General features: G+C 45.2%; 1 protein-coding gene and 1 long non-coding RNA gene across 4 annotated transcripts in view, besides 3 other annotated features; one reads left to right on the top strand and one right to left on the bottom strand.

Annotated features, from left to right (window-relative positions):
* ZBTB8A (zinc finger and BTB domain containing 8A) overlaps positions 1–20,571 on the bottom strand; it is a 66,515-nt gene extending 45,944 nt beyond the window's left edge. For all 3 annotated transcript variants that reach the window (NR_111980.2, NM_001040441.3, NM_001291496.2), the window contains exons 1-2: positions 20,426–20,571; positions 6,458–6,539 (exon numbers count right to left, since the gene is read on the bottom strand). The gene's annotated coding sequence lies outside the window, so the exon portion shown is untranslated. The remainder of the gene's footprint in view (positions 1–6,457; positions 6,540–20,425) is intronic.
* On the top strand, positions 8,372–18,422 carry LOC124903952 (uncharacterized). Its single transcript, XR_007065669.1, has 2 exons — positions 8,372–8,410; positions 18,169–18,422. It is a non-coding gene; the product is annotated as an uncharacterized LOC124903952 (long non-coding RNA).
* Positions 10,004–10,204: a silencer, noted in NCBI's record as "peak165 fragment used in MPRA reporter construct". NCBI's record gives its function as "represses an SCP1 promoter by STARR-seq MPRAs in K562 erythroleukemia cells {active_cell/tissue: K562}" and the evidence as "EXISTENCE:reporter gene assay evidence [ECO:0000049][PMID:32103011]".
* Positions 12,212–12,396: a silencer, noted in NCBI's record as "fragment chr1:33013203-33013387 (GRCh37/hg19 assembly coordinates)". NCBI's record gives its function as "represses an EF-1alpha promoter that drives an FKBP-Casp9 reporter gene in an ReSE screen in K562 erythroleukemia cells {active_cell/tissue: K562}" and the evidence as "EXISTENCE:reporter gene assay evidence [ECO:0000049][PMID:32094911]".
* Positions 19,839–20,208: a silencer, noted in NCBI's record as "silent region_601". NCBI's record gives its function as "represses an Ori minimal core promoter by ATAC-STARR-seq in GM12878 lymphoblastoid cells {active_cell/tissue: GM12878}" and the evidence as "EXISTENCE:reporter gene assay evidence [ECO:0000049][PMID:35858748]".
* Positions 20,572–23,024: the final 2,453 nt, after the last annotated feature.

Raw genomic sequence — 23,024 nt, 5'->3', positions numbered from 1 at the left:
ACAGCCTGCAGAACTGTGAGCCAATTAAACCTCTATTCTTTATAAATTACCCAGTCTCAGGTATTTCTTTATAGCAATGCAAGAACGGACTAGTACAGGTGGCAAGGGGGCTGAGCGTGCTCATATCTCCCTTCCTCTTCTTATAAAACCACTAGTTCCTCCCATGATAACCCATTAATCCTTCATAACCCAATCACCTCTTAATGGCCCCACCTCTCAGTACTGCCACATTGTGCCACGCATAGTGGCTCATGCTTGTAATCCCAGGACTTTGAGAGGCCAAGGCAGGCAAATCGCTTGAGCCCTGGAGTTGGAGACCAGCCTGGGCAACATGGCGAAACCCCATTACTACAAAAAATACAAAAATTACCCAGGCATGGTGGCATGTACCTGTAGTCCCAGGTACTCAGGAGGGTGCGGTAGGAGGATCACCTGAGCTTGGGGAGGTTGAGGCTGCAGCGAGCCGTGATCATGCCACTGCACTCCAGCCTGGGTGACACAGTAAGACTCTGTCTCAAAAAACAAAACAAAACAAAAAAATACTGTCACCTTGAGGATTAAGTTCCAACATGAGTTTTGAAGGGGACCAACATTTAAACCACAGTAGTGGTGATGAAAATAAGCAGACAAGGCCAAGGCAGGTGGCTCACTGGAGGTCAGGAGTTTGAGACCAGCCTGGCCAACTTGGTGAAATCCCATCTCTACTAAAAATAGAAAAATTAGCCAGGTGTGGTGGCGGGTGCCTGTAATTCCAGCTACTAGGGAGGCTGAGGCACGAAAAAGGCTTGAACCCGGGAAGCAGAGGTTGCAGTGAGCTGAGATCACGCCATTGCACTCCAGCCTGGGTGGCAGAGCCAGACACCATCTCAAAAAAAGAAAGAAGTAGACAGAGATAAGCCAGAGGTAAAATCAGCAGGACTTGGAAGCAGCATAAATAACAGTGGGTAAACACATGGGCTATGCCATCAAAGTGAATCTAAACCCCGGCTCTGCTGTGGTTTACACATCCATTTCCTAACCTATAAATGGGGGTTTATAAGAGTACAGTACCTACTTCAAGGAATTGTAGATTCAACGCAACATTGTAAATGTCAAGAACTCTGCAGGCGCCTGGGACATTGTAGCTGCTCAATAATATATGAACCGCTGTTATAATTCTTATCATCATTGTCATCAATCACCAGTTAGATACAGAAGATAACCTCAAACTTACTGAATTCCAAACTTCTTATTGCAGCCTTTTCTTAACCGCTGAAATGTACTCCTTCATCTGTGTCTCCTTTCTTGGGAATTAGTACCACTATTTTCCTCCAGTGCCTAATCCAGGACCCAGGAACCATCCCAGGCCAAACCTTTCCTTTCTCTGCCTCCATATCTATATCCTTCAGACTTGGAGACTAACAAACGAATAAGTAAATGAATGGCACATGTTGAAAGCTCCCTACATGATTTCTTTTCAATGTGGTCTACTCTCAGGATATCTTCCCACCTCCAGATGTTTGATGAATAATTTACTTCCATTTGTGTGTGTGTGTGTGTGTGTGTGTGTGTGTGTGTGTTTAATACTTAGCTCTTCTAGAAAGTATTTGGTGTACTGTGTGATGAGAAGATCTAAATTTTTCTCTAAGTAGCTAACTACTGTAGATAAGAAGGAGGGAGGGGTGAGACAGGAAGAAAAAAAGAGAAAATGGCCAGGTGGCTAGATGCTAAGATAAATGATTGGTAGCATTTACACTGTTACCTCTTGTTTAAGGTTTGATTTTCAGAAACTGATCAGAAACGTAATTTTGTTCCACAAAAAGATGATCTGTTTCTTAGAGGCAAATGCCTTCCTACTTCCCTACTTCCCTCCTTTTCCCCCATCCTCTGTCTTTAATCAAGCTCACAGAGTTTATATATAGGTCTATATATGTTATATATGTGTATGTGATATGTCAGATATACCATATATACAAGAAAGACACAAGGCCATTTTACAAATTATGATGAAATATGTAAACATCAAAGGGACAGATATTTGTTTTCCACTGACCAACATATTCTCCTTTCCTTATGAGGAAGTGATGTGGAAAGTCAGTCATCAAAATGTTGCTCACTGAGCATGAAGTCAGTATATTATGGATGTCTGGATATACGCTCAGGAAATCTAGGCTGGAGATAAAGATTTAGAAATCATCAACAGAGGGTGGCATTTGAAAGATTTTAATAACTGATGATAAGAGTTTGGTAAAATGGACCAGGCGCGGTGGCTTACACCTATAATCCCAGCACTTTGGGAGGCTGAAGCAGGTAGATGTTTGAGCTCAGGAGTTTGAGACTAGCCTGGGCAACATGGTGAAACCTCATCTCTACAAAAAAAAATATAAAAACTAGCTGGGTATGGTGGCATGGGCCTGTAGTCCCAGCTACTTGGGGGCTGAGGTGGGAGGATCACTTGAGCCCAGGAGTTGGAGGCTGCAGCGAGTTCGGATTATGCCACTGCCCTTTAGCCCTTTAGCCTCAGGGACAGACCAAGCAACATTTTATTTAAATTAAATGTTATTTAATGTTTATTTAAATTAAATGTTAATGAGATGGTTTCTATACATTTACATTTAGCATTATTTGCCCTAGAATCCAAGGCAAAACAAAAACAAACAAAAACAAAATCCCAGAGAAACACAAATTATTTATATAGTTCTCACATCATCTTTTTGAGATGGGAGTCTGGCTCTGTTGCCCAGGCTGGAGTGCAATGGCATGACCTTGGCTCACTGCAACCTCTGCCTCCCAGGTTCAAGTGATTCTCCTGCCTCAGCTTCCCAAGTAGCTGGGACTACAGGCGCACACCATCACGCCCGGTTAATTTTTGTATTTTTAGTAGAGACGGGGTTTCACTATGTTGGCCAGGCTGTTCTCGAACTCCTGACCTCAAGTGATCCACCTGCCTTGGACTCCCAAAGTGATGGGATTACAGGTGTGAGCCACCGCAACTGGTCTTTTCCCCTTCCCTTTCACCCTTGAATGCGTATGATTCAAAAATAAGAAAACACTCTACTGACACGGAAAATTAAGAAAGTTAAGTTCCCTTGTATTATATATATTGGTCTATACCTTGCTTTTTCTTTTTTGTTTTTTTTGTTGAGACAGAGTCTTGCTCTGTCCCCAGACTGAAGTGCAATGGCACAATCTCGGCTCACTGCAACCTCCGCCTCCCAGGTTCAAATGATTCTTCTGCCTCAGCCTCCCGAGTAGCTGGGACTAGAGGTGCCCGCCACCACGCCCGGCTAATTTCTGTATTTTTAGTACAGACAGGGTTTCACTATGTTGGCTGGAACTGTCTTGATATCTTGACCTCATGATCTACCTTGCCTCGGCCTCCCAAAGTGCTGGGATTACAGGCGTGAGCCACTGTGCCCGGCCCTATACCTTGCTTTTTCTTAAATTAAGTTTGAGACCAGGATGGCAGAATAGATTTTTAAAAATTGGCTGGGCATGATGGTGCATGCCTGTGGTCCCAGCTACTTGGGAGGCACAGACAGTGGATTGCTTAGGCCCAGGAGTTGGAGGCTGCAGTGAGCTATGGTAATACCACTGCACGTCAGCCTGGGCAACAGAGCAAGACCCTGTCTCTAAAAAATAAAAAATTGTGGCCGGGCATGGTAGATCACACCTGTCATCCTAGCACTTTGGGAGGCTGAGGTGAGTGGATCACGAGGTCAGGAGTTCGAGACCAGCCTGGCCAACATGGTGAAACCCTGTCTCTACTAAAAATATAACAATTAGCCACAGTGGCGCACGCCTGTAATCCTAGCTACTCAGGAGGCTGAGGCAGGAGAATCGCTTGAACCCGGGAGGTGGAGGTTGCAGTGAGCTGAGATCACGTTACTGCACTCCAGCCTGGGGGACAGAGTGAGACTCTGTCTCAGAAAAAAATAAATAAATAAAAATAAAAAATTGCATGTGCCTGTAGTCCCAGCTACTTGGGAGGCTGAGGTGGGAGCGTCACTTGAGCCCAGGAGGTTGAGGCTGCAGTGAGCAGTGATTGCTCCACTGCACTCCAGCCTGGGCACACAGACAAGTGTCTCAAAAAAAAAAAATTAAATTAAAATTAAATTTTTTTTTAAATTTGAAACAAGAAATTGGGAAGTCCAGAGTCCAGAGAAATAACTGGTTTAGAAGAAAAGCAACAACTTTGGTTTTATGTATGTTGGATTTCAGAGGAATGGGAAATCAGGTAGATATGGACAGGAGGCCACTAGAAATGCTGGTCTGAAGTTCACAGGGACACTCAGAGTTGAAGATAGAGGAGTAAGAGAATCTGCAAATAGCAATTAGGCTGTTAGCAGAAATGAAGGGGCTCAGAGGAAGCATGGGCTGAGAGGGGAACCTGGAGGATTGCCCATGATTGTGCGGCAGGATGGGGAAAAGATGCCAGTGTTACAGACAAGAAATTACAGGGAGAATGAAGAGAGCTTTGTGACACATTAGCCAAGGGTGGAGAATTTCAAGACAGATGCAGTACAGGGGTTAAAGGGCCAACAGGCAGTAATAAAGCAGCTACCTGCATTGTCTCATTTAATCCTCATATGCAACCTATTGGGGAGATGGTATTATTATTATTATTTTTGAGACAGAGTGTCGCTCTGTCGCCCAGGCTGGAGTGCAGTGGCACCGTCTCAGCTCACTGCAAGCTCCGTCTCCCGGGTTCACGCCATTCTCCTGCCTCAGCCTCCCATGTAGCTGGGACTACAGGCGCCTGCCACCACGCCCGGCTAATTTTTTCTATTTCTAGTAGAGACAGGTTTTCACCGTGTTAGCCAGGATGGTCTCGATCTCCTGACCTTGTGATCTGCCCGCCTCGGCCTCCCAAAGTGCTGGGATTACAGGCGTGAGCCACTACACCTAGCTGGGAGATGGTATTATTATCCCCATTTTACAGAAAAGGGCTTTAACCCAGACAGTGACGCCAAGGCTGCACGATGCAGCTGTGGGAGGTCAGAATTCTGACACTGGTTCTACCACTAAATTAGCATTATGTCCATGGGCAAGTAACTCATGTTTCTAGGCTTAACATCCTTCTCTGCAAATTAAAAGGACTGATCTAGATAATCTCCAGTTCTTAATAATACGAGTATGTGATTAAGTTAGAATGGGAGAAATACATACACAAGAGAGGCAGTGAATTAAAAAATGTAGTTCCATACAATTGCCTGGATCCCAGTTTAAAAAAAAGATAAAGCCGGGTGCGGTGGCTCAGGCCTGTAATCCCAGCGCTTTGGGAGGCCAAGGTGGGTGGATCACCTGAGGTCAGGAGTTCGAGACCAGCCTGACCAACATGGTGAAACCCAGTCTCTACTAAAAATACATAAATTAGCCAGGCTTGGTGGCAGGTGCCTGTAATCCCAGTTACTCTGGAGGCTGAGGCAGAACTGCTTGAACCTGGGAGGTGGAGGTTGCCTCTGCACTCCAGTCTGGCCGACAGAGCCAGACTACATCTCAAAAATAAATAAATAAATAAATAAATAAATAAATAAATAAATAAATAAATAAATAAAAGATTAAAATGTAGTTCAAATATGTATGCTGGGTGTTAAAAAAAGAAATTCGGCCCACATTCATAAGGATACACTACACCTCCTTAAGAGAGTATTCAAAATAAAGATGTCATTAAAAAAAATTAGCAATCAGTGAACAGGGAGACCAAAAAAATCAGAACGCTGAACATCTTAGACAGTGAATTTCCAAGAAATAAATCCATTCTCTGATATATAAAATCTACAACTACAAAATTTTACCCTTTTTTTTTTTTTTTTTTTTGGAGACAGTCTTGCTCTGTTGCCCAGGCTGGAGTGCACTGGTGTGATCTTGGCTCACTGCAACGTCCGCTGCCCGGATTGAAGTGATTCTCCTGTCTCAGCCTCACAAGCACCTGGGATTATAGGCGCCCAGCACCACGCCCGGCTAATTTTTGTATTTTTAATAGAGATGGGGTTTTGCCATGTTGGCCAGATTGGTCTCAAACTCCAGACTTCAGGTGATCCTCCTGCCTTGGCCTCCCAAAGTGCTGGGATTACAGGCGTGAGCCACCGTACCCGGCCCAAAATTCTACCTTTTTTTTTTTTTTTTTTTGAGACAGAGTTTCGCTCTTGTTGCCCAGGCTGGAGTGCAATGGTGCCATCTTGGTTCACCGCAACCTCCACCTCCCGGGTTCAAGCAATTCTCCTGCCTCAGCCTCCCAAGTAGCTGGGATTACAGGCATGTGCCACCATGCCTGGCTAATTTTGTATTTTCAGTAGAGACAGGGTTTCTCCATCTTGGTCAGGTTGGTCTCGAACTCCCGACCTCAGGTGATCTGTCTGCCTTGACCTCCCAAAGTGCTGGGATTATAGGCGTGAGCCACCGCGCCCGGCCCCAGAATTCTACTTTTTATCTATGCATTTAAGTGAGGTAGATGAAGAATTAAAATTTGTCATACCTGGAAATTTATGAATGCTGCTCTTGAATGGAGTAAAAAAGGGAAGATTCTAAGTCAAACAGTCTGTGTTTGGAGGATTGTCCTGTAGAGAGAGAAAACAGATATTTATAATGTACTTTTGTCATAAGAGGCAGAAAGATCTGCTAAGGTACATAATATTTATTTAAATAAACTATATAAGGGCCAGGCACAGTAGCTCACACCTGTAATCCCAACACTCTGGGAGGCCAACGCGGGCAGATAACCTGAGGTCAGGAGTTTGAGACCAGCCTGGCCAATATGGTGAAACCCCATCTCTATTAAGTATACAAAAATTAGCTGGGCATGGTGGCAGGTGCCTGTAATCCCAGCTACTCAGGAGGCTGAGGAGGGAGAATTGCTTGAACTCGGGAGGCGGAGGCTGCAGTGAGCTGAGACTGTGCCACTGCATGCCAGCCTGGGTGACAGAGCAAGACTTCGTCTCAAAAAAAAAAAAATTATATAAGAGCCTCTGTCAGATACAATTTTTAACATGTAAAAATAGATGATCTGGCACAAATTATTATTAGTAATAGTTAATAATAGTTAATAGAAAATCATTAATAATTAATATTAATATATAATATAGAACAAATATGTAATATATGATTTAAAATATAATATACAATATAAATAAATCATTAATATTATTAATAATAGAATGATCATTTGGCTTCAAATTGGCTTGGAACTCTTTTTAAAGACATATATACATTTTATATACATATTTTTATGTTTTATATATATAACTTTTTAACCTCAATCTTAATATTAAAGTTTATAAGAGATTTCCAATATTAAAATATATTATGGCAAATCAAAAGCAATCCTTTTTTTCGTTTCGTTTTGGTGTTTTTGAGATGGAGTCTCACTCTGTCGCCCAGGCTGGAGTGAAATGGCGTGATCTCGGCTCACTGCAACCTCCGCCTCCCTGGTTTGAGCAATTCCCCTGCCTCAGCCTCCCGAGTAGCTGGGATTACCGGCACACACCATCACGCCTGGCTAATATTTTTGTATTTTTAGTAGAGACGGAGTTTTTCCGTGTTGGCCAGACTGGTCTCGAAATCCTGACCGACCTCAGGCAATCTTCCTGCCTGGGCCTCCCAAAGTGCTGAGATTACAGGCGTGAGCCACCACGCCTGGCCATTTGGTTTATTTTTTGAGACAGTCTCACTTTGTCACTCAGGCTAGAGTGCAGTGGCACAATCACGGCTCACTGCAGCCTTGATCTCCCAGGCTTAAGTGATTCTCCCTCTTCAGTCTACCAAGTAGTTGGGACTACAAGTACCCACCACCAAGCTTGGCTAATTTTTGTATTTTTTAGAAAGATGAGGTTTCGTCATGTTGCCCAGGCTGGTCTCAAACTCCCGGGCTCAAGCGATCCCCCCACTTCGGCCTCCAAAAGTGCTGAAATTATAGGCATGAGCCACTGTCCCTGGACCAAACATACTTTTTAACTTTGACAAGAAAATAAACTTAAGACAACACTATTCAAAGGCAGGCCAGCAGATGATACCAAGATAGTAAGTCCTATTGCTCTTTTCCTCCAAATGTCATCAATGTGTTTTAGAAGAAAACTGAACAGAATAGCTTTAAAAATTCAACATATCTTGAAAAAAAAAGAAAGTACAGGTAAGTATAAAGAAGAGGAGCTGGGCCCAGTGGCTCATGCCTGTAATCCCAGCATTTCAGGAGGCAGAAGCAAGAAGGTCACCTGAAGCCAGGAATTCCAGACCAGCGTAGGGAACATAGTGAGACCTATCTCTAAATAAATAAATACGAAAACAAACTGAAATAACTTTTTATTTTTTTTTAGATGGAGTTTCGCTCTTGTTGCCCAGGCTGAAGTGCAATGGTATGATCTTGGCTCACCACAAACTCTGCCTCCCGGGTTCAAGTGATCCTGCCTCAGCCTGCCGAGTAGCGGGATTACAGGTATGCACCACCACACCCGGCTCATTTTGTATTTTTAGTAGAGATGGTATTTCTCCATGTTAGTCAGGCGGTCTCAAACTCCCAACCTCAGGTGAACCACCCGCCTCAGCCTCCCAAATTGCTGGGATTACAGGCATGAGCCACCATACCCAGCACTTTTTTTTTTGAGAGAGAGTCTCACTCTGTCACTCAGGCTGGAATGCAGTGGTGTGACCATGGCTCATTATGGCCCTGACCTCTCAGGCTCAAGTGATCCTCCAGCCTTAGCCTTCTGAGTAGCTGAGACTAGAGGTTTACCAGGCTAAATTTTGTATTTTTGTAGAGACAGGGTTTTTCCATGTTGCCCAGGCTGGTCTTGAAATCCTAGGCTCAAGTGATCCTCCCACCTTGTTGGAATAATAGGCATGAGCCACTGTGCCTGGCCCAAAATTAATAATTTTTGAGAACAACCCGTTGCCACACTAAAAGCTCATCTGTCACCTAGCCCTAATGAGTTAGAAGGGCATTCAGAGAATGGCATTTACTTGGATTGCTTCACTGCTTCAACACTGCCACTTAAGGGCATATTAACTACTGTCCAGCGTACTGGGTGTGTACGGTGGTAATTTGTGGCTTTTTTTTTTTTTTTTTGAGACGGAGTCTCGCTCCTGTTGCCCCGGCTGGAGTGCAATGGCGCGATCTTGGCTCACTGCAACCTCCGCCTCCCGGGTTCAAGCGATTCTCCTGCCTCAGCCTCCCAAGTAGCTGGGACTGCAGGAGCCTGCCACCACACCCGCCTAATTTTTGTATTTTTAGTAGAGGCGGGGTTTCACCATATTGGCCAAGCTGGTCTCGAACTCCTGACCTTGTGATCCGCCTGCCTCGGCCTCCCAAAGTGCTGGGATTACAGGCGTGACCCAACACGCCTGGCCTAATTTGTGGCTTTTTAAGAGAACTGATCTCTTTTTCCTTTTTCTTTTTGTTTTTGCTACAGGGTCTCATTCTCACCTAGGCTGGAGTACAGTGGCACGATCTTGGCTCACTGCAACCTCTGCCTCCCAGGTTCAAGGGAGCTGATGCTTGCACATCAGCCTTCCGAGGAGCTGGGACCACAGACGTGTACCACCACACCTGGCTATTTTTTTTGTATTTTTTGTAGAGATGGGGTCTCACCACGTTGCCCAGGGTGGTCTCGAACTCCTGGACTCAAGCAATCCACCCACCACCTTGGCCTCCCAAAGTGTTGGGATTACAGGTGTGAGCCACTGCACCTGGCCAAAAGAACTGATTTCTGAGCATGGTCTGTGCCCTAAACAATTTTTACATGCTGATGGAATGCTATTTTTTTCAGATGACACCAAGTTCCACTCTAGCAGATATTAGAGTTGATCTGTGGATGGACACTCAGGATCCTTTTTTTAAAGGGTCTCGATATATTGCCCAGGCTGGTCTTGAACTCCTGGGCTCAAGAGATCCGCCCACCTCGGCCTCCCAAAGTGCTAAGATTACAGGCATGAGCCACCACGACCGGCATCAACATCCTTTCCTAACTTCCTTCTGGAAACTAAAAAGTACATTTCCCAGACTCCTTTACAATTCAGTTTCCCCATGTGAAATGTGGCCTATCAATGAGATGTTCTGTGAGATCCGGAAGGCAGAAATGAGGTGGGAACCATCTTTCTTCTGTTTTGGCTGTTAATGCTGGCAAGCACATTTATGGAAACATTGTATTTTTTTCTCATAGCAGCATTCCAGTGTCAAAAGCTTCATGATTGTCAAAAGACAAACATGGTGAAGACAGGAGTCACTATTTGGTAGGAGTTCAGGGGAAGTTCAGGGGTAGCAGGGTTGTTTCCTTTTATTTATTTTCAGAGGCAGGGTCTCACTCTGTCATCCAGGATGAAGTGCTGAAGTGCAGTGGTGCACTCCCAGCTCACCGTAAACTCGAACTCCTAGGCTCAAGGGGATCCTCCCACTTTGGCCTCTCAAAGTGCTGGATTACACTGCGCATGGCCTATAGCAGTTAGTCGACCCTTAAATTACACTAGCAATGTCATTGGCAGCCTCCTGATTCCCTCCCTGGGGGGCCTGTTGGGCAGTCTTTTTTTTTTTTTTTGAGACGGAGTTTTACTCGTTGCCCAGGCTGGAGTGCAACGGTGTGATCTTGGCTCACCGCAACCTCTACCTCTTGGGTTCAAGCGATTCTCCTGCCTCAGCCCCCCAAGTAGCCGGGATTACAGGAACATCCCACCATGCGTGGCTAATTTTTATATTTTTAGTAGAGACAGGGTTTCACCATGTTGACCAGGCTGGTCTCGAACTACTGACCTCAGGTGATCCGCCCGCCTCGGCCTCCCAAAGTGCTGGGATTACAGGCATGAGCCACAGCACCCAGCGAGGTGTTTTGTTTTGTTTTGTTTTGAGACAGAGTCTGACTCTGCCCTCCAGGTTGCAGTGCAGTGACGTGATCTCGGCTCATGGCAACCTCTGCCTCCCGGGTTCAAGCGATTCTGTCTCTGCCTCTGGAGTAGCTAGGACTACAGGTGCGGGCCACCATACCCGGCTAATTTTTGTATTTTCAGTAGAGATGAAGTTTCACCATATTGGCTAGGCTGGTCTCAAACTCCTGACCTCATGATCGGCCTGCCTCAGCCTCCCAAAGTGCTGGGATTACAGGCATGAGCCACGGTGCCTGGCCCCGGCCAGGTATTTCTTTTTATCAATGAGAGCATGGACTAATACAGGGACAATAATAATACCTATAGCTTACAGAGCTGCGAGATGGAGAATATTAGAAGCTAATCCAAGAAACGTGCTTATAACAGTGCCTGGCTTATAACAAGCCCTTGATAAATGTCAGCTATTATTATTATTATTAATTATCTAAACATTTAAAAACACTGCTTTCAATGAGTACAAAATGTAAACATTTTAGAGTTTTATTGCCACACATTTTCTTGTCTTATACAAATGGGGATACAGAAAGGAGGCTCACGCCTGTAATCCTAGCACTTTGGGAAGCTGAGGCGGGTTTATCACCTGAGGTCAGGAGTTCAAGACCAGCCTGGCCAACATGGCAAAACCCCATCTCTACTAAAATACAAAAATTAGCCGGGCATGATGGCGGGTGCCTGTAATCCCAGCTACTTAGGAGGCTGAGACGGGAGAATCGCTTGAACCCTGGAGACGGTGGTTGCAGTGAGCCGAGATTGCACCACTCCACTCCAGCCTGGGCGGCTGAGTGAGACTCTGTCTCAAAACAAAAACAAAAACAAAAACAAAAAATGTGGATACAGAAAAAAAAAATGTTTTTTGACTGGTTTCATCATATTCATGTACCTAGAGAGAGTGAGAGCGATCATTTCAAAACTACATGTGTACCTGGGAATAGCAACCCTCGACTCCAACTAGTCAATTGCAGACCTCACCTTAAGGAAGGATTATTCTTTTTTTTTTTTTTTTTTTTTTTTTAATTTGAGACGGAGTCTAGCTCTGTCGCCCAAGCTGGAGTGCAGTGGTGCAATCTCGGCTCACTGCAACCTCTACCTCCCGGGTTCAAGTGATTCTACTGTCTCAGCCTCCTAAGTAGCTGGGATTACAGGTGCCGGCCACCATGCCCAGCTAATTCTTGCATTTTTAGTAGAGATGGGGGTTTCACTGTTTTGACCAGGCTGGTCTCGAACTCCTGACCTCATGATCCACCTGCCTCGGCCTCCCAAAGTGCTGGGATTACAAGTGTGAGCCACTGCGCCTGGTCTTTTTTTTTTTTTTTTTTTTTTTGCTTTGTTTGTTTTTTGTTTTAGACAGAATCTTTCTCTGTTGCTCAGGCTGGAGTGCAGTGGTGAGATCACAGCTCACTGCAGCCTTGACCTCCCCGGGCTCAGGTGATCCTCCCACCTCAGCCTTCTGAATACAAGTGTGTGCCAAATTATTCTTGAGAAACCATTTTTGCCTTTTTTTCTTTCTTTTTTTTTTTTTTTTTGAGATACAGACTTGCTCTGTCACTCAGGCTGGAGTGCAGTGGCCTGAGAATGAGATCTATAACCTAAAATAAGATTTGCAACCTAAAAGTTTATGTTTTAATGTTGCTGAGTACAGTGGCTCGAACCTGTAGTCCCAGCTACTCAGGAGGCTAAGGCAGGAGGGAAGATCCCTTGAGCCCAGGAGTTCGAGGCTGCAGTGAGCAATGCTCATGCCACTGCACTCTAGCCTGGGCAACAGGGCAAGACTCCATCTCTACTAAAAAAAAAAAAAAAGAAAGAAAAGAAAATTTGTTTATACTTAGAATACTACTCTAATGTATATATTTAAAAAGTCATGGATAAAATTATGGCTTAGTTTGGTTTGCTGAGGTATCTTCTGGTGATGAAAAATACATTGCAGATTTTGGAATAAAACTTCCCCCAGCCGGGCATGGTAGCTCATATCTATAATCCTAGCACTTTGGAAGGCCCAGGCAGGAGGATCACTTGAGCCCAGGAGTTCGAGACCAGCCTGGGCAACATGGCGAGACCTCATCTCTACAAATAATTAAAAAATTAGCCAGGTGTGTGGTAGTATATGCCTGTGGTCCCAGCTACTCAGTAGGCTGAGGTGGGAGGATCACTTGAGCCTGAGAGGCTGAGGCTGCAGTGAGCTGTGATTGTGCCACTGCACTCCAGCCTGGGCAACAGGGCAAGACCCTGTCTCAAAAACAAAAACAAAAAACTTCCCCCAGATATTCTGGAACTGTAAGAATTTTATGTTGGACCTAGTCCAACAGCGCCAGGGAGACAGAGGGAACTGAAGGTGATATAAGGCATCCGCTATGCCCTCCGTGTTTCACATGCTGCTGAGAGCCACAGGATTCAAAGCAATGGAGGTTTTCTGAAGGGTCAGAAAAACAGCCGAAAGAAAACAACTTCATCTTTTGATACAATCATTAATTTTACATTGTTCTGAACTCCACAGAAGTATATTTTCCTTTTTTAAATTCTTGAGACAAGGTCCCACCAGCCTGGAGTGCAGTGGTACGATCTTGGCTCACTGCAGCCTTGGCCTCCGGGGCTCAAGTGATCCTGCTTCAGTCTCCCACATAGGTGGGACTATAACAGTGTACCACCATGTCTGGCTCTTTCTATATTTTAACAGAAAAATCTTTTATTTATTTATTTATTTTTTTTTTTGAGACAGAGTCTCACTCTGTTACCCAGGCTGGAGTGCAGTGGCATGATCTTGGCTCACTGCAACCTGCCACTCCTGGGTTCAAGTGATTCTCATGCCTCAGCCTCCTGAGTAGCTGGGATTACAGGCACGCACCACCACACCTGGCTAATTATTATATTTTTAACAGAGACAGGGTTTCGCCATGTTGGCCAGGCTGGTCTCAAACTCCTGGCCTCAAGTGATCTGCCCGCCTTGGCCTCCCAAAGTGCTGGGATTACACGTGTGAGCCACTGTATGTGGCCCTTTTACTCTATTTTTATGAGAAGGGCAGATACTCAAATTGGCAGGTGAAACGCATTTTATTCAAGACATATTTATTGAGCAACTACTCTATACCAGACTATACCTGGTCCTGAGAATATAGAGGTGATGAAATGTCAAAGGTCAGTGCTCACTTTCAAGCAGCTCACTGTCTAGTAGGAGAGAGAGAGAGTCAGAGAAGAGACAGGAAGAGAAGAGACTTCTAGACAAAGTGACAATACAATGAAGAAAATACTCATAGTAGAAGGGAACTGTAAAACAAAGAAAGCAAATGATTGTACCTGGTAGTATTGAGAAACATTTCCAAAAGGCTCAACGTTTAGGTTGGGTCTTGAAGGATGAAAAGAAGTTTATACATGAGAAAGAGGGCAAAAGGCGTTCTAGCCAGAGAGAGCACCAAATGGGAAGGCAAAAACAGCGTATTAAACAGCATGGCCTCCTAGGGGATGGTAAGAAGTTTGCTATAGCTAGAGACTGTGGGCCTACAGAAGGATGGCAGAAGATGAAACTAGAAAAGTATGTAAGAGCTAGATCTTGGAAGCCCCTCCAGTTTTGGGGGTTCTGAGGCACTTCTGAAGGATTTTAAAAAGAAGAAACACAGGATTATAGGTCTACCAATCATTAGCTGTGTGACTTTGTCAAGTTACTTAACTCTAAGCATTCGTTTCCTTTTTGTAAAATGAGGTTATTGACTGTTTAGAGGCTCTAAGGAAGTCTGTTAAGAGGATTAAATAAGATAATCGCTAAAATAAATAAGATTAAATAAGACAAATAGAAATAAGCACATGAAGAGATGTTTAGCATCATTAATCATTAGAGAAATGCAAATCAAAATCACAATGAGATACTACCTCACACCCACTAGGATAGTTTGCTACAATAATTTTTTAAAATTTTTTTCTTCTTCTTTTTCTATATTTTCTTTTTTTTCCATGTTTTTCCAGAGATATAATAATTTTTTAAAAAACATGAAAATACTAAGTGTTGGCCAGAGTATAGATAAGTAAGAACCTTCACACACTGCTGGTGGAAATATAAAATGGTACAGCGACTTTGGAAAACAGTCTGGGAGTTCCTCAAATGATTAAACATGGAGTTATCATATGACCCAGCAATTTCACTCCTAGGTATATATTCAAGAGTAATGAACACATACGTCTACACAGAAACTGATACACGAATGTTTATAATAGCATTATTTGCAACAGCTAAGAGGTGGAAACAATCCAAATGTCCACTGACGGACAGGTGGGTAAACAAAATGTGGTATACCCATACAATGGAATGTAACTCGGCCATAAAAAGAATGAAGTACTGATATGGTCACGCGCCGCATAACATTTTGGTCAACAACTGACTACATATACGACGGTGGTCCCATAAGATTATAATACCATATTTTTATTGTACCTTTCCTGTGTTTATTTATTTGTTTATTTATTTTTGTAGACAAAGTCTTGCTCTATCCCCCAGGCTGGAGTGCAGTAGCACCATCTCAGGTCACTGCAACCTTCGCCTCCTGGGTTAAAGCAGTTCTCCTGCCTCAGCCTCCTGAGTAGCCGGGATTACAGGCACCCACCGCCATGCCTGGCTAATTTTTGTACTTTTAGTGGAGACGGGGTTTTGCCATGTTGGCCAGGCTTGTCTTGAACTCCTGACCTCGGTGATCCACCCACCTTGGGCTCCCAAAGTGCTGGGATTACAGGCGTGAGCCACTGTGCCCAGCTTTCCTGTGTTTAGATATGTTTAGATACACAAATACTTACCATTGTTTTACAAATGCCTATAGTATTATGCTATACAGGATTGTAGCCTAGGAGCCATAGGCTATACCATACAGCCTAGGCGTGTAGTAGGCTATATCAGCCAGGTTTGTGTAAGTACATTCTATGATGTTCACACAACAACAAAAATCACCTAACAACACATTTCTCAGAACATATCCCCATCATTAAGTGACATATGACTGTATATACTACAACATGGGTGAACCTTAAAAACCTCATGCTGGCTGGGAACGGTGGCGTGAGCCTGTAGTCCCAGCTACTTGGGAGACTGAGGCAGAGGACTGGTTGAGCCCAGGAGGTCAAGGATGTAGTGAGCCAGGATTACGCCACCACAATCCAGTATGGGTGACAGTGAGATCCTGTCTCTAAAAAACAAACAAGTCTGGGTGTGGTGGCTCATGCCTGTAATCCCAGCACCTTGGGAGGCCGAGGCGGGCGGATCATGAGGTCAGGAGACCGAGACCATCCTGGCGAACACGGTGAAACCCTGTCTCTACTAAAAATACAAAAAATTAGCCGGGCATGGTGGCAGGTGCCTGTAATCCCAGCTACTCGGGAGGCTGAGGCAGGAGAATGGCGTGAACCCAGGAGGCGGAGCTTGCAGTGAGCCGAGATCGCGCCATTGCACTCCAGCCTGGGTGACAGAACGAGACTTTGTCTAAAAAACAAAAAACCTGATGCTAAGTTACAGAAACTAGTCATAAAAAATACATATTTTATTTATGATTTTATTCACATGAAATGCCCAGAATGGGTAGATCCACATAGGAAGTAGATGAGGGGTTATCAGGAGCTAGGGAGACATGGGAATAGGAGTGACTGTTAACAGGCATGGGGTTTCTTTATGCAAATGATGAAAATGTTCTGGAGTTAAGAGGGTCATGATGGTTGCACAATTTTGTGACCATATCAAAAAACTGAATTGTACACTTTAAAATGGGTAAATTTTATGGCGTAAGAGTTATATCTCAGGCCAGGCGCAGTGGCTCACACCTGTAATCCCAGCACTTTGGGAAGCTGAGGCGGGTGGATCACCTGAGGTCAGGAGTTTGAGACCAGCCTGACCAACATGGTGAAACCCCGTCTCTACTAAAAATACAAAAAATTAGCCGGGCATGGTGGCAGGTGCCTGTAATCCCAGCTGCTTGAGAGGCTGAGGTAGGAGAATTGCTTGACCCTGGGAGGCGGAGGTTGCAGTGAGCCCAGATCACACCATTGCACTCCAGCCTGGGCAACAAGAGTGAAACTCCGTCTCAAAAAAAGTTATATCTAAAAAAAAAATAGGAATTGTCCTATACACTGGGGTCAGTTACAACCTGATATTCACATTGAAAGGATTTTAACATAACATGCATTCATAGTAGTACTCTTGAGTCATCAAAAAAGGTTTAAGTTATTTTCAGAATTATGTGATTAGGTCATGGAAATCGGTAATGCATTTCAGATTTTCTTCTTTCAGTAGAGTGACTTTATACGTTGAAACAGCAAGTTAGATCAATTTATATGGGACATCCAAAATCCAAATGGAAACATTTTAAATATCTGTAAGAGTTAAATATTATAATAGTCCCAAGAATATAACAGAATTCAAGATTTCCATCAAGTTCAATGATCTTTAAAAAGGTGGTTGGGAAAGACAATTACACATTTTAGGAACCATTAAGTTCGAAAGTCTTTGGAATAGAAGCCAATGACATGTATTTCTATGAGTAGACTGAAGATTTAAGTAGCGAGTGTAACTTGAACTAAGGTTGTCGTTGAGAAGATCAACTCTCTTTTTTTGAGACGGAGTCTTGCTCTGTCGCCCAGGCTAGAGTGCAGTGGCGCAATCTCGGTTTACTGCAACCTCTGCCTCCCAGGTTCAAGTGATTCTCCTGCTTCAGCCTCCCGAGTAGTTGTGATTACAGGTGCCTGCCACTGTGTGCTAATTTTTGTATTTTTAGTAAAGAAGATGGGGTTTCACCTTCTTGTCCAGGCTGGTCTCGAACTCCTGACCTCGTGATCCACACCCCGCCCCCCCGACCCCCGAGGCCTTGGCCTCCCAAAGTGTTGGAATTATAGGTGTGAGCCACCACACTCGGCTGGGAAGATCAACTCTTTTAAGATATATAGTCATTAATCTAAAATTTAATGTGTCCCACCAGGGTCAGCAAAACTAATCTTGTTAGCCTGCTTAGCAAACGTTCCTGAGTCATAAAGAACTTCAGCTAACTAGAGTGGTAACTGTATTCCTTGATGGATAAATGATCCTTCAGCTTTGGAAGATTTAGAATTAAGTACAGATGCTCTTCAACTGACGATGGGGTTACATTCCAATAAACCTATTTTAAGTTGAAAACATTGTAAGTTTAAAATGCATTTAATACCCCATTAAACGCACTGTAAAGTCAAAAAATCGTAAGTCAAGCCATTGTAAGTCAGTGATCGTCTGTATTAAAAACATTTAAGAGCTATGGTTTGAACATTTGTGTCCCCTCCAAAATTCATGTTGAAACTTCATCCCGATTGCAACGGTATCATCTTTAGGAGGTGATTGGGCCACGAAGACTCTGCCCTCATGGATGGAATTAGTGCCCTTATAAAAGCACCTGAGGGAGTGAGTTTAGCCTCTTCTGCCCTTCCATTCCTTCTGCCACGTGAGGACACAGCAGTCCTCCCATCCAGAGGATGCAGCAACACGGTGCCATCTTGGAAGCAAAGAGCAGCCCTCACTAGACACCAAACTGCCTAAACTTCTCAGCCTCCAGAAGTGTGAGAAATAAATTTGTTCTTTATAATTACCCAGTCCCAAAGTATTTTTATAGCTGCACAAATGGCCTGAGACAGAAAAGATTTAGAATTAATAAAAACACTTAAGAGAATCAAAACTATAGTTGAGGAAAGCCTCATTGAGAAGATGGCATTTGGGTAAAGTCCAAAGGAAGTAAGAGAGTCATGTGGGTGTCTGGGGGAAGAGCATTTCAGGCAAAGGGAACGGCAAGTGCAAAGGCCCTGAGGTGAGCAGGCAAGGAGGCATGGGGGAAGCAATGGGATATGGAGTCAGAAAGGGAAAGCAGATCATGAGAGAAGTAGGACATGGTGAGACCAGGTGCTTGTAAGGCTGCATAGACTATTATGGAGCTTTTGGCTTTTAAACTGCGTAAGATGGGGAGCCACTGACCAATTTTGAGCAGAAAAGTGGCAAAAGCTTCATTCAAGGGAATCAAACACATCAAATCTTTAAATATGATTAACATATCATTGTGTCACTGAGTTAAGTCTATTACACAGTTTTATCTAAAAATTAGATTTAAATGACATACGATGAATTAAATTACTCTATCTTACAAAGTTTTTGATGGCCCCAAATCATTATCAACAGCGAAGCTGGTGATTTCAGGGCTAGGAGATAAGGGTTAGTGGTGTGGCCTCCTTCCTGGAGTCCCTACTCATTATGCCTCCTGCTGACATTTTAGAGCACAATCCACCCAGACACCCATTTGATCAAGGGCCCTAAGCCAGATTCTCACTTCCCAGTTGCCACTTGTGTGGCCAGAGAGGTTCCCAGGAATAAAGACATCTGATCCCTGCTTATCAGTGAGGGGCTCTTGCTCCAGTCTACAAACGCATCCATACCTGAGGCATGGAGGAGATAAGACTGGAGCAGAAGCTTGTTGAGGATTTTGGAGGCTTTCCTGAAAAAGATCAGTTAAGGTTTTTAGAGCAGGGAAGCGCTGTGTTAAGACTGGCCCTTCTAAAGACTCCTCTGGAGGTGCCTTAGGAGGGAAGGCAGGGCGGGAACAGGAGGCCCTGGGCGGCTATGGTCACCCTAGCCTAGAGGTGAAACGCCATGCTTCATACGTGTTCCCTCATCTGCAAAGTGGAATTACCGTCAGCCTGACTAGGTGGTTGTTTTATGTGAAATTAAGTGAAATAATTCATATAGGTGAAAGCACTCCATTTAAAGTTGTGCAACTATAAAGGTTTATCAAGCATAGAGGTGATATTGACGTGTGTGGTTAGAAGCCCACCAGGTGTGTGTGAATCTACCGCTTCCAAACGCGTCTTAGAATGATGTGGAGTAGGGCCATTGGAACAATCGGGGATACATAAGCGCATCTGAAGGGGAAGGGAACAAGCCGCTGACTAACTCACAAAAGAGGCGGTCCGCATGGGTAGAGATGAGCATGTAAGGTTCCGTCCAGAAGCAAATAGTTGGGAGCTCAACATTGGTTAGGCGCGGTGAGTTCGCCCTCGGTTCTAAGCCCAGATGTCGCATCTTGACATAAAACCAAGGATGGAGGCTGCACCGAGAAACTCGGGCTACTGCCCTGGGAGCCAGGTTCCCCGGCAGCGCCCCTGGCCGCGCCCGCAGAGACTCCGGCCCCGGCCCTGCCCTGCCCTCCCCGCGCGCCCCCGCGGCGGCCGCCCGTCTTTGCTCCGCGCAGCCCGAGCCCCTCCAGAGTCCGCGGCGCCCGACGGCTCCAGACACGCCCGGCGCCGTCCCCGCCGCCTTCCCGCCGCCGCCTCCAGGAGGCTCCGCGCGCCTTCCCGCCTTTCCCCGGGCCGGGCCGGGCGGCGAGGCGGGCGCGGGCGGCGACGGCGCGGCCATTGTCCCGCAGCCCCTCCCGGGCGCCTCCCGCCGCGCTCCCGGCCCGGGGACGTCTGGGGGAGGCGCGCCCGGGGCCCGCATCCCAGCACTGCCGCCGCCCGGGCCGTCAGAGCCCGCGGCCAGGCTCGCGGCGGGTCCCGGGCAGCCCCGACGCCCGCCCGCCCTCCGCCGGCGCCGCGTGCAGCCACTTACCGCGGGCCGCGGCGCACCGGCCGGTCGCGCGCGCGGGCCGAGGGAAGATTCCTGGTTCTCGGCTGGGGAAGGACCCCCTTTCGAGGCCGTTCCTTTGCGCCCTAAAACAAGTAGCCCCAACGTGAGAGAAACAAAAGGTATTTGCTGACGTGGGCGTTGGACAGAAACGCCCGAGGGCTGGGGACACAATTAAAGGGGCAACGCACAGATTTCAGGCACCAACCAGCAGCTTCGCCCACTCCCCCTGCCCTTGCCCACACTCGCTGCACGCTCCAGAGACACCGGGGTGCCCAGATTCTCTAGCAGTTGACTGCGGATCATGATTTTAGTCAGGAGCTGAAATTTAAAATTGTACTTTACGTTGGGAAAGGCGCCTCCGGAGGGCAGAAGGGCTGGATTTCTAGGATCTGGGGATTTGGTTTAGGAAAGAGGGAGGGACTTAGGCGTGCCCACAATTACTGTATAAGTACATGTGACATTATTGTACTTAAGTTTAGCAACGTCAAATGCAAAAGATTTCCACAGAATTTTCCCTTGTACTGAAGCAGTTATTTTAGTTGAGGATAACCTTTTCTAAACCTGTACAGGTCAGAAGCATTTCATTTGAATAGGAAAACCCAGAGAGGCTGAGATAAGAGAACATAATTCTTAGTTAAGTCCAGAGAAATATAAAATTAGTAAAAATAGCAAGTTGCGTCTTTTCCAATGCAAGCATTCATCGTACACCAAGCTTCCTCTGACAAATTTACGTCTCTAATATTTAGAGTACAGATATCAGGTTATACATTTGCTAAAATAGTAAATCAATGGATTTTCACTGTTACTGTAGAAGCATTACTTCTATAAATTAGTTTTCTAGTTCCTTATGCTGGGGTCAGGTACTGAAAAGTACTGTGTTATAGTAAAACTGGAGGGAAAAGGTTCAAATTATCAAAACTTGCGTTTAGCTTTTAATGGATTCCTCTCCTGTTCAAAATCATTCATATTGGACAGTTTGTAACTTTGATTTCAGGAATAATTAGCTATGCATTTTGAGGATACAAGATATTCACAATTGTCTCAATGTCACTTCTGTGTCACTGCAGAGGTGCTTTGCTATTTAGTTGCATTTCCTCACCTTCTGAACAGGTAAGTAGAAACATATTTGAAAACCATTAGGTGTCTGGTGTGTTGGATGTACTCAGATTACTCTGCTAGCGCCCCCATTGAGAATTCCCCCAGAAAGACCTGGACATGGTTTTAGCCAAAGGTTTTATTTTAGCCTTAGTTAATTAAAACATGCAAAAGAGTTCCACAAACATATTCCTCAAGAGAGCACATCAGGTTGGTGATAAACTCTTTGTTGAGGCCGGGTGTGGTGGCTCACACCTATAATCTCAGCACTTTGGGAGGCCGAGGTGGGCGGATCACGAGGTCAGGAGGTTGAGACCAGCCTGGCCAACATGGTGAAACCCCATCTCTACTTAAAATACAAAAATTAGCTGGGCATGGTGGTGCGCGCCTGTAATCCCAGCTACTGGGGCAGCTGAACCAGGAGAATGGCTTGAACACAGGAGGTGGAGTTTGCAGTGAGCCAAGATCGTGCCACTGCACTCCAGCCTGGGTGACGGAGCAAGACTCCATTTCAAAAACAAAAACAAAAACAACAAACAAAAATAACCTCTTTGTTGCAAGGAAGAGGTAATGAGAGTTTTGTCCCTCACCTTCATTCTCCTAGCTTTGGGAGCACGTTTCTGTATGCTAGAGCTCCACCATTAACCAGTGCTAGTCTCTTAAACTCTGTCTCCCACCCCACCCAACCCCCATCCCTGTTTCCACCTATTCAGTTCAAATCTTGAGGAAGATAATCCATTCCTTTTTTTTTTTTTTTTTTTTTTTTTTTTTGGAGACGGAGTCTTGCTCTGTCACCCAGGCTGGAGTGCAATGATGCAATCTCGGCTCACTGCAACCTCCGCCTCCCAGGTTCAAGCAATTCTCTGCCTCAGCCTCCAGAGTAGCTGGGATTACAGGTGCCCGCCACCACGCCTGGCTAATTTTTGTATTTTTAGTAGGGACAGGGTTTCACCAGGTTGCCAGGCTGGTCTTGAACTCCTGACTTCGTGATCCAGCCTCATTGGCCTCCCAAAGTGCTGGGATTACAGGCATGAGCTACCGCACCTGGTCCCATTCCAATTTTAACAGTGCCTGCTAAGGGTAAAGTTTTTGCTCTAGGCTCTTGGAATGCAGTGGTGAGCAAAAAATTCACCAAGTCCCTGCTTTTATGGGATTTGCAGTCTAGTGGGGGAGACAGATGGTAATCAAATAAATGTATAATTTGAAAATTGGATAAGTCTGAAGGAAAGGTATGTCGTGTGATGAGAATATTGATGAAGTGGGGACCCGTCTCATGAGGGAGAGGGTTTGTGTAAGGAGGACTTCCTTGAGGAGGTTATCTTGACTGGAAATCTGGAGTAGGAATTAACAGGCAAGCGTGTGAGTGGTCAGGAGCATTCCAGATAGAAGGAGCAAAATGGTGCTTGGTAGATGGGAATATAGCCTGAAAGGCTGATGAGACTGGAGTGCAACGTGAGGGAGAGAGACAAGAGATAAGATGGGAGAG

Source organism: Homo sapiens, chromosome 1 (genome assembly GCF_000001405.40).
Source record: "Homo sapiens chromosome 1, GRCh38.p14 Primary Assembly".
In the NCBI taxonomy this organism is placed as follows: Eukaryota; Metazoa; Chordata; class Mammalia; order Primates; family Hominidae; genus Homo; species Homo sapiens.
The sequence above is the reverse complement of the archived record's forward strand: the minus strand, read 5'-3'. Positions and strand labels throughout refer to the sequence as shown.